Below are 11,464 nucleotides of genomic sequence, written 5' to 3'. Positions count from 1 at the left end.
TCTCCTGCCTCAGCCTCCCAAGTAGTTGGGACTACAGGCACCCACCACTACACTTGGCTAATTTTTGTATTTTTAGTAAAGACAGGGTTTCACCATGTTGGCCAGGCTGGTCTCAAACTCTTGAGCTCAAGTGATCCGCCTGCCTTGGCCTCCCAAAGTGCTGTAATCACAAGAATACAACCATCAGGAGTGCCTCAAGGGAGAAATATCCTCTGAGAATAGCCACAGACAAAGTGGGGAGGTGGGACTACCATCCCCAGCCCTGGAAACTCTCTCTACTCTATAACTTGGCCAAAGGAGATGCCAAATCAGAGTGGCTGTTCGTTAGCACCATGCTGTGGGAGGTTTCTTCCATAGCTCCCCTGGGAATGAACCCCTAGCCAGCTTTCCTATGCTACTGGGATATCCCCTTTGGGACCTCCCCCATTCGGGATGGGAGACGCTCTGATCTTTAATAGAGCCAAGGCAAACCTGGTTTTAAGGTGCCACTGAGTGCTAAAAAGGAGGCAGCAACCTAGCAGAAAAAAAGAAACCAACAGGTCAATTACGAAGAATCTGTAAGCAAATGGAGCCAGTAAAAGCCAAAACAAGCCAGACGGAGAAGGCTGGAATAAGTGACTAATCCTTCAGTGCAAAGGCATAGATGTACATTAACAACAAACCAAAGCAAACAGGGAACCATGAGCTCCCCAAATGGACCAAGTAAGGGACCAGTGACTAAACCTAACAAGACAGTAATATGTGAGCTTTCTAAGAATTCAAAATGGCATTTTTAAGGAAACTCAGTGAATTCCAAGACGACATAGAAAAGCAACGCAGAAATTTATCAGTGAAATTTAACAAAGAGATTGAAATAATAATTTAAAAAAAACCCAAACAAATCTTAGAACTGAGAAATACATTTGCTGAACTGAAAAGTTCATTAGAGGTTCTCAACAGCAGAGTGGGTCAAGCAGAGGAAACAATCAGTGAACTTGGAGACGGGCTGTTTGTAAATACATACAGAAGAAAAAAGAAAAAAGAATGAAAGGAATGGAAATCACCTACGAAATATAGAAGACAAAATCTAAGAATTATTGGTGTTCAAGAGGGAGCTGAGGAGGAGCAAGGGGATAGAAAGGATATTCAAAGAAACAATGGAAGACATTCAAAAATTGCAAATATCCAGGTACAGAAAGGCCAGAGAACACCAAATAGATTTGATTACCCCAAGGCATATAATAATCAAACTCTCAAAGGTCAAGAACAAAGAGAGGATCCTAGAAACAGTAAGAGAAAAGAAGGAAATAACACTTAAAAGAGCTCTAATTTACCTGGCCACAGACTTCTCAATCAAAACCATGAAGGCCATACAAGAATACTGTATCAAGCAAAGCTATTATTCAAATATGAAGAAGAGATAAAGTTTTTCCCAAATAAAAGCAGAGAGAATTCACCACTACCAGATCTGTATTATAAGAAATGCTCTCTTGAAGAAAGACAGTTCCAGAGAGTTCCTCAATCCGGAAAAAAAAAAAACCATGCAAAAAGAAAAAAAATTTTTTTTGAGACACGATCTTGCTCTATCACCCAGGATGGAGTGCAGTGGCCCAATCATAGCTTACTGCAGCCTCAAACTGCCAGGCTCCAGTGATCCTCCCACCTCAGCCTCCTGAGTAGCTGGGACTACAGGTGCACACCACCATGCCTGGCTAATTTTTGTATTTTCTTTCTGGTAGAGATGGGGTTTTGCCATGTTGCCCAGGCTGGTCTCGAATTCCTGAGCTCAAGCAGTCTTCCCCCATTGGCCTCCTAAAGTGTTGGGATTACAGGTGTGAGCCATCATTCCTGGCCAAAGAAAATATTTGAAGGTATAAAACCCATTGGTAAAATTAGGTGCACAGAGAAACCCAGGATACTCCAATACTGTAATTGTGGTATGCAATTCATTCTTAACTCTACCATAAAGCCTCAAAGACAAATCTATCAAAAACAATAATATTGAGCTGGGTGTAGTCTCAGCTACTTGGGAGGCTGAGGCAGGAGGATCACTTGAACCTAGGAGTTTGAGGCCAGTCTGAGCAACACAGTAAGACCCCATAATTAAAACAATAATAGCTATAGCAGCTTGTTAAAAGACAAGCAAAATAAAAATATGTAAATTGAGGAAACAAAAAGTCAAAATGTGGGAGGGAAGGAGATAAAGTGTGGAGTTTTTATTCATTGTTTCTATTTTTTTCTTTGTGATCTAAGATGTTATCGCTTTAAAATAACTTGTTATAAGATTTTTTTTAGAAGCCTCAAGGTAACCACAATGCAAAAACCTATAATAGATTCAATAAAAATAAAAAGTAGCAAGTTAAAACGTACTACCAGAGAAAATCACTTAACCACAAAGGAAGACAGTAAGAAAGGAAAAAAGGGGGCCAGGCACGGTGGCCCACACCTATAATCCCAGCACTTTGGGAGGCTGAAGCAGGCGGATCACCTGAGGTCGGGAGTTCGAGATCAGCCTGACTAACATAGAGAAACCGCTTCTCTACTAAAAATACAAAAAATTAGCCGGGCGTGGTGGCACATGCCTGTAATTCCAGCTACTCGGGAGACTGAGGCAGGAGAATCGCTTGAACCTGGGAGGCGGAGGTTGTGGTGAGCCGAGATTGTGCCATTGCACTCCAGCCTGGGCAATAAAAATGAAACTTCATCTCAAAAAAAAACAAAAAACAAAAAACTTGTTATAAGATTTTTTTATAAGCCTTAAGGTAACCACAATGCAAAAACCTATAATAGATTCAATAAAAATAAAAAGTAACAAGTTAAAACATACTACCAGAGAAAATCACTTAACCACAAAGGAAGACAGTAAGAAAGAAAAAAAGGGGGCCAGGCATGGTGGTTCACGCCTGTAATCCCAGAACTATGGGAGGCCGAGGGAGGCGGATCACTTGAGGTCAAGAGTTCGAGATCCACTTGGCCAACGTGGCAAAACCCCGTCTCTACTAAAAATACAAAAATTAGGTGAGTGTGGTGGTGGGTGCCTGTAGTCCCAGCTACTCGGGAGGCTGATGCAGGAGAATTGCTTGAACCCGGGAGGCAGAGGTTGCAGTGAGTCGAGATCGCGCCACTGCAGTCATGACTGGGCGACAGAGCAAGACTCTGTCTCAAAAAAAAAAAAAAGAAGGAAGAAAACAACCAGAAAATAAGCAACAAAATAGCAGTAGTAAGTCCTTACTTATCAATAATAACATGAATGTTAAGGAAATAAATTATCCAATTAAAAGGCATAAAGTGGCTGAATGGATAAAGAATAAGACCCAGGCCAGGCATGGTGGCTCATGCCTGTAATCCAAGCACTTTGGGAGGCCAAGGCAGGAAGATTGCTTGAGCTCAGGAGTTGGAGACCAGCCTGGGCAACATAGTGAACCTCGTCTCTACCAAAAAAAAAAAAAAAAAAATTTGCTGGGCGTGGTGGCTGGCGTGCACTTGTATTCCTGACTACTCAGGAGGCTGATGTGGGAGGATCACTTGATACTGGGAGGCGGAGATAGCAGTGAGCCGAGATTTCCCCACTGTACTCCAGCCTGGGCCACAAACCTTGTCTCGAAAGAAAAAAGAAAAAAGGCCCAACTCTATGCTGTCTACAAGAAACCCAGTTCACCTATAAAGACACACTTAGACTGAAAGTGAAGAGTTAGAGAAAGATATTCCGTGCAACTGGAAACCAAAAAAAAAAAAAAAAAAAAAAGCAGGGGTAGCTATACTTGGTATCTATATATGGTATCAGATAAAAGAGACTACAATTCCAAGCTTGTGAAAAGAAACAGAGCAGGTCACTGTACAATGATAAAGGGGTATATTCAGTGAGAGGATAACACAGTTGGTTTTTTTTTTTTTTTTGAGATAGAATCTCGCTCTGTTGCCCAGGCTGGAGTGCAGTGGTGCGATCTTGGCTCCCTGCAGCCTGGTTCAAGCGATTCTCCTGCCTCAGCCCCCGAGTAGCTGGGACTATAGGTGCTTGCCACCACGCCTGGCTATTTTTGTATTTTTAGTAGAGACAGGGTTTCACTGTGTTGACCAGGCTGGTCTTGAACTCCTGACCCCAAGTGATCCACCCACCTCAGCCTCCCAAAGTGCTGGAATTACAGGCATGAGCCATTGAGCCCGGCCTGTTTAATTTTTGTATATGGTGAGAGCTACAGCTCTAGTTTCATTCTTCTACGTACAGTTTTCCGATTTTCTCAGCACCATTTATTGAAGAGATTGTTCTCCCCCCATTGTATGTTGTTGGTGCCTTTGCTGACAATGAGTTGGCTGTAAATGTGTGGATTTATATCTGGGTTTTCTATTCTGCTCCAGTGGTCTACATGTCTGTCTTTATGCCAGTATCATGCTGATTTGGTTACCATAGCTTTGTCGTCTATTTTGAAGTCACGTAGTGTGATGCCTTTAGCTTTGTTCTTTTTGTTCAGGATTGCTTTGGCTATTTTGGGGTCTTTCGTGGTTCTGTGTAAATTTTAGCATTGTTTTTTCTATTTCTGTGAAGAATGTCGCCGGTATTTTGATAGGGATTGCACTGGATCTGCAAATTCCTTTGGGCAGTATTGTCATTTTAACAAAATTAATTCTTCTAAACCATGAGCATGAAATATCTTTCAATTTTTTGTGTATGTCCTCTTCAGCTTCTTTCATTAGTGTTTTTATAGCTTTCCTTGTACAGATCTTTTACTTCTTTGGTTAAATTGATTCCTAGGTATTTTATATTCTTTGTGGCTATTGTAAATGGGACTGCTCTCTTGATTTCTTTTTCAGATTGTTTGCTGTTGGCATATATAAATGCTACTGATTTGGGGTTTTTTTTGGTTTGGATTTGTTGTTGTTGTTTTTGAGACAGAGTTTTGCTCTTTTTGCCCAGGCTGGAGTGCAATGGTGTGATCTCGGGGCTCACTGCAACCTCTGTCTCCCAGGTTCAAGCCATTCTCCTGCCTTAGGCTCCCAGGTAGCTGGGATTACAGGCGCCCGCCACCACACCCAGCTAATTTTTTGTATTTTTAGTAGAGACAGGCTTTCAACATGTTGGCAAGGCTGGTCTGGAACTCCTGACCTCAGGTGATCCACTTGCCTCGGCCTCTCAAATTGCTGGGATTACAGGCGTAAGCCACTGCACCTGGCCAAACGCTACTGATTTTTGTATGTTGATTTTGTATCCTGCAACTTTACTGAATTTGTTTATCAGTTTTAACAGTTTTTTGGTGGAGTCGAGTATAAGATCATATCAGGCCAGGCATGAGGTTTTGCCGTGTTGCCCAGGTGGCTCATACCTGTAATCCCAGCATTTTAGGAGGCCAAGGCAGGAGGATCACTTGAAGCAAGGAGTTCAAGGCCACACTGGACAACAGAGCAAGACCCAACCTCTACAACAAAATTAAAAAATTAGCCAGGCATAGTGGGGTGCACCTGTAGTCCTAGCTACTCAGGAGACTAAGACAGGGAGGTCACTTGAGCCCAGGAGATCAAGGCTGCGGTGAGCTATAATGGTGCTACTGCACTCCAGCCTGGACGATAGAGTGAGTGAGACCCTATCTCTAAAAAATAAAATAATAAATAAAGCTATTGTAAAAAAAATGTCATCTATGAACAAGGCTAATATGACTTCTTCCTTTCCAGTTGGGATGCTCTGGAAAATTAGCTGCGTGTGGTAGCGTGAGCCTGTAGTCCCAGCTACTGGGGAGGCTGAGGCTGGAGGATCGCTCAAACCCAGGAGGTGGAGATTGCAGTGAGCCGAGATTGTGCCACTGCACTCCAGCCTAGGCAATAGAGGGAGAATCTGACTCAATAAATAAATAAATATATATATAAAATAAAAATAAATAAATAAACAAACAAAAATCTATTAAAGACTTAAATCCAAGACCTGAAACTATGAGATTACCAGAAGAAATCATTGGGGAATTGCTCCAGGACATTAGTCTGGGCAAAGATTTTTTGTGTAAGGCTTCAAAAGCACCGGCAACGAAGTGAAAATAGACAAATGGGATTGTATCAACCCAAAAAGCTTCTGCAAAGCAAAGGGAACAATAAACAAAGTGAAGAGGCACACCACAGAATGGAAGAAAATATTTGCAAACTATCCATCTGACAGGGGATTAATAACCAGAATATATAAGGAGCTCAAACAATTCAACAGGAAAAAAAAATCTAGTTAGAAAGTGGGTGTGGGCCGGGCTCAGTGGCTCACGCCTGTAATCCCAGCACTTTGGGAGGCCAAGGTGGGCGGATCACTTGAGGTCAGGGGTTGAAGACCAGCCTGACCAACATGGTGAAACCTCTTCTCTACTAAAACTACAAAAATTAGCTGGGTGTGGTGGCACATGCCTGTAATCCCAGCTATGCAGTAGGCTGAGGAGGGAGAACTGCTTGAACCCAGAAGGCAGAGGTTGCAGTGAGCTGAGATCACACCACCACACTCCAGCCTGGGCAACAGAGCGAGACTCCGTCTCAAAAAAAAAAACAAAAACAAAAAAACAAAAACGGGTGTGATGGTTAATACAGAGTGTCAGCTTGATTGGATTGAAGGATGCAAAGTATTGTTCCTGGATGTGTCTGTGAGTGTGTTCCCAAAAGAGATTAACATTTGAGTCAGTGGACTGGGAGGGGCAGACCCACCCTCAATCTGGGTGGGTACCCACCAGCTGCCAGCACGGCTAGGATAAAGCAGGAAGAAGAAAATGGAATGGGCAGACTCGCTGAGACTTCCGGCCTTCATCTTTCTTCCGTGCTGGATGCTTCCTGCCCTTGATCAGTCTCCAAGTTCTTCAGCTTTTGGACGTGCGGACTTTCACCAGTGATTTGCCAGGGCCTTTGGCTACAGACTGAAGTCTGCACTGTCAGCTTCCCTACTTTTTTTTTTCTTTTTGAGATGGAGTCTCACTCTGTCACCCAGGCTGGAATGCAGTGGCACCATCTCGGCTCACTGCAACCTCTGCCTCCCGGGTTCAAGCAATTCTCCTGCCTCAGCCTCCCGAGTAGGTGCGATTACAGGCGTGCACCACCATGCCCGACTATTTTCTGTGTTTTTAGTAGAGATGGGGTTTCACCATGTTGGCCAGGCTGGTCTTGAACTCCTGACCTCAGGTGATTCACCTTCCTTGGCCTCCCAAAGTGCTGGGATCACAGGCTTGAGCCACCATGCTCAGTCGGCTTCCCTACTTTTGAGGTTTTGGGACTGGCTTCTTGCTCCTCAGCTTGCAGACGGCCTATTCACCTTGTGATCATGTGACTCAATACTCCTTATTACACTCCCCTTCATATATACATCTATCCTATCAGTTCTGTCCCTCTAGAGAACCCTGACTAATACAGTGAGCAAAGGATCTGAATGGACGTTTCTTAAAAGAAGACATTCAAATGGCTAAGGGGTATATACAAAAATGCTCAACATCGCTAATTGTCAGAGAAATGCAAATCAAAGCTACAGTGAGCTATCACCTCACCCCAGTTAAAACGGCCTTTATAAAAAGGTGGATGCTGGCAAAGACGTAGAGAAAGGGGAACCCTCATACACTGTTGGTGGGAATGTAAATTAGTACAGCCACTCTGGAGAACAGTATGGAGGTTCCTCAAAAAATTATAAATAGAACTACCATATGATCCAGCAATCCCATGCTATGAATACACCCAAAAGGAAGGAAGTCACTGTATCCAAGAATTAAACAAAAATCTATTAAAGACTCAAATCTAAGATCTGAAACTATGAAACTACCAGAGGAAAACACTGGAGAAATGCTCTTTGCATTCACATGTTTATTGCAGCACTGTTTGCTGCAATAACCAAGATAATGGAGTCAATCTAAGTGCCCATCAAAGAGCGAATGCATAAAGAAAATGTGGTATATGGTTGAGTGAGGTGGCTCACGCCTGTAATCTCAGCACTTTGGGAGGTGGATCACTTGAGGTCAGTTCAAGACCAGCCTGCACAACATGGTGAAACCCCATCTCTACTAAAAATACAAAAATTAACCGGTGGTGGCTCATGCCTGTAATTCCAACTACTAGGGAGGCTGAGGCACGAGAATTGCTTGAACCCTGGAGGCAGAGGTTACAGGGAGCTGAGATTGCGCTACTGCACTCCAGCCTGGGTGACAGAGAGAGACGCTGTCTCAAAAGAAAAAAAAAAAGAAAAAATGTGCTATATGTACACAATGGAATATTATTCAGCCATAAAAAAGAATGAAATTCTGACATTTGCAGCATCATGTTAAGTGAAATAAGCCAAGCACAGAAAGACAAATATCGTATGTTTTCATTCATGTGTGGGTGCTGAAAAAGTGGATCTCATGAAGATAGAGAGCAGATAGGTGATTCCTACCAGTAGCCAGGAAGGGTAGGGTGGAGGGGGGAAATGAAGAGAAATTGACTAATGGGTACAAATGTATAGCTACATTTGGAAGAAATGTAAGATGGAAGAAATAAGATCTGGTGTTTGATAGATCAGTAGGGTGAGTATAGTTTACAATAATCTGTTGTACATTTCAAAATTAGAATAATAGAAGAAGACTTCATGTTTTTAGCATAAAGATGAATATTTAAGGTGATGAATATCCTAATTACCCTGATTTGATCTTTTTTTTTTTTTTTTTTTTTTTTTTAGACAGAGTCTTGCTCTGTCGCCCAGGCTGGAGTACAGTGGTGCAATCTCAGCTCACTGCAACTGCCGCCTCCCGTGTTCAAGCAATTTTCTACCTCAGCCTCCCGAGTAGCTGGGATTACAGGTGCCCACCACCATGCCAGCCTAATTTTTGTATGTTTAGCAGAGACAGGGTTTCATCATCTTGGCCAGGCTGGTCTTGAACTTCTGACCTTGTGATCCACCCACCTCGGCTTCCCAAAGTGTTGGGATTACAGGCATGAGCCACCACACCTGGCCCCCTGATTTGGTCTTTACAAATTATATAAATTTATTAAGTTACCGCATGTTCCCTGAAAATATGTATATCTGTTATGTATCAATAAAGAAATAAAATTTAAAAAAGAAAAAAAAATTGCAACCCAATGCTCTCAATTCCCTTTACCTGGCTTTAATGTTTTTCATAGCAGTGCCCACCTGCTAAAATAAAATATAATATTATCTTCTTTTTCATTATATTTATTGTTTGATTCTTTCACTGGAATATAAGTTCCATGAGGTCACAATTTTCTGTCTATTTTGTTTGCTGTTGTATCTCCAGTGCCTAAAATAGACCCAGGAACATAGTAGGTGCTCAATAACTATGTTTTTTTGAGTCAGTGTCTTGCTATGTTGCCCAGGCTGGAATGCAGTTGGTGCAATCTTGGCTCATTGCAACCTCTGCCTCCCAGGCCCAAGCAATCCTCCCACTTCAGCCTCCCAAGTAGCTGGGACTACAGGTGCATGCCACCAGGCCCAGCTATCAATAACTTTATTTTTGTTTGAGATGGAGTCTCTCTCTATCTCCCAGGCTGGAGTGCAATGGCATGCTCTCTGCCCATTGCAACCTCCGCCTCCCGGGTTCAAGGGATTCTCCTGCCTCAGCCTCCTGAGTAACTGGGATTACAGGCATCCGCAACCATGCCTGGCTAATTTTTTGTATTTTTAGTAGAGATGGGTTTTCATCATGTTGGCCAGGTTGGTCTCGAACTCCTGACCTCAGGTGATCCAGCCGCCTTGGCCTCCCAAAGTGCTGGGATTACAGGTGTGAGCCACCACACCTGGCCAATAACTATTTTTCGAATAAATAAATAAGTATGGGGAGATGGAAATTCTCATAAAATGCTGATGGGAGTATTGATACAATCATGCCAGCGAGTGTATAATTTAGGATAGACTAGGTCACAGTGCAGTAACAAATAACTTCAAAAATCTCAGTTAGCACAATTAAAGTTTATCTCTCATTCACACAAAGTCCACTGTAAATCCCAGCTACTCTTCAGGCCAGCTCCATGTGTTAACCCTGTAACCTAGCATCTTTCATCTCTCCTAAAGGCCTCTATGCTGCCAGAGCTGGGGAGAGAGAGATGAGAAAATCTCTCAGGCTGGGCGCGGTGGCTCACGCCTATAATCTCAGCACTTTGGGAGGCCGAGGCGGGCGGATCACGAGGTCAGTAGATCGAGACCATCCTGACTAACATGGTGAAACCCCATCTCTACTAAAAATACAAAAAAGAAAAAAAAATTAACCGGGCGTGGTGGCGGGTGCCTGTGGTCCCAGCTACTCAGGAGGCTGAGGAAGGAGAATGGCATGAACCCGGGAGGCGGAGCTTGCAATGAACCGATATTGTGTCACTGCACTCCAGCCTGGGCGACAGAGCAAGACTCCGTCTCAAAAAAGAAAAAAAACAACAAAAAAAAGAAAATCTCTCAGGAGGTTTTCATTGCCTCGGTCTAGAAGTGACATATGTCACTTCAGCTTATATTTCCTTGTCCAGAACCAGTCGTGTGGTCTCATCTCACTGCAAGTGGATGGAGAAATATATTTTCTCATGTGCCTTTGAAGAAGGAACTGGAAACAGAATTTGGTGAGTGTATACCATGGTCTCAGCCACAGACAACCATTTGACAATGTCTATTGGCAAGTTGAGCATGTAGGTTTACTAAGACCTAGAGATTCTCCTCTTGCATACATCCTTAGTGGCTTGAAAACAGAAGGCAGTACTGTGTATTAGAAAGTTTACTGGCTTGGGAGTCAGGAGACCTCACTTGTAGAAATGTGGTGTCCAACATGGTACTTACTCTAGTAAGTATGATATGCGATCATATGAATTAAAATTCATTAAGATTAATTGCATTAAAAATATGAAGTCTCAGTTGCACTAGCCACGTTTTAAGTGCTCAGTAACCACATGTGGCTACGGTGTTGGGGAGGACAGAAGAGCATGTACATCATCACAGAAGGTTCTTACTGGACAGCACTTTGTACAACTAGCTGCACCATTCACACCATCTCTGTTGGAGCCAGCTTTCATATGTGTAGAAGGAAAGGGTTACACCAGCTGCATCAGCATCAACTGTAAACTTTTGAGAAAATCCAATTTCTGGGCCCCACCCCAGACTTACTAAATCAGAAACTCTGGGATTGGGCTCCAGAAATATGTGTTTTGACAAGCCCTCCAGATGACTTGGAAACATCCTAAAATTTGAGAATGTTGTTAGACTATCTTTAAGACCAATTCCTCCTAGCTTGGAACTTCTACCACTCAAAAATGTAGGATACTAGAGGGTGGGAAGGGATAGGGGGAGGCTTGTTAGAGGTGTGATCCAAAAGTATCTGAGACAGGTTGCAATCAATTTAGAAAGTTTATCTTGCCAAGGTTAAGGACACTCCTGTGACACAGCCTCAGGAGGTCCTGATGACATGTGCCCAAGGCGGTTGGGGCACAGCTTCACTTTATACATTTTAAGGAGACATGGACACCACTCAATATATGTAAGATGTATATTGGTTCTGTCTGGAAAGATGGGACAACTTGATGC

The 11,464-nt window shown here is 43.0% G+C and overlaps 1 pseudogene across 2 annotated transcripts in view, besides 1 other annotated feature; it reads left to right on the top strand.

Annotated features, from left to right (window-relative positions):
* PPP5D1P (PPP5 tetratricopeptide repeat domain containing 1, pseudogene) overlaps positions 1–11,464 on the top strand; it is an 82,238-nt pseudogene that overhangs the window by 1,262 nt on the left and 69,512 nt on the right. The window lies entirely within an intron of this gene.
* Positions 3,416–3,616: a silencer, noted in NCBI's record as "peak3526 fragment used in MPRA reporter construct". NCBI's record gives its function as "represses an SCP1 promoter by STARR-seq MPRAs in K562 erythroleukemia cells {active_cell/tissue: K562}" and the evidence as "EXISTENCE:reporter gene assay evidence [ECO:0000049][PMID:32103011]".

This window comes from Homo sapiens, chromosome 19 (genome assembly GCF_000001405.40).
Source record: "Homo sapiens chromosome 19, GRCh38.p14 Primary Assembly".
NCBI lineage: Eukaryota > Metazoa > Chordata > Mammalia > Primates > Hominidae > Homo > Homo sapiens.
The sequence above is the reverse complement of the archived record's forward strand: the minus strand, read 5'-3'. Positions and strand labels throughout refer to the sequence as shown.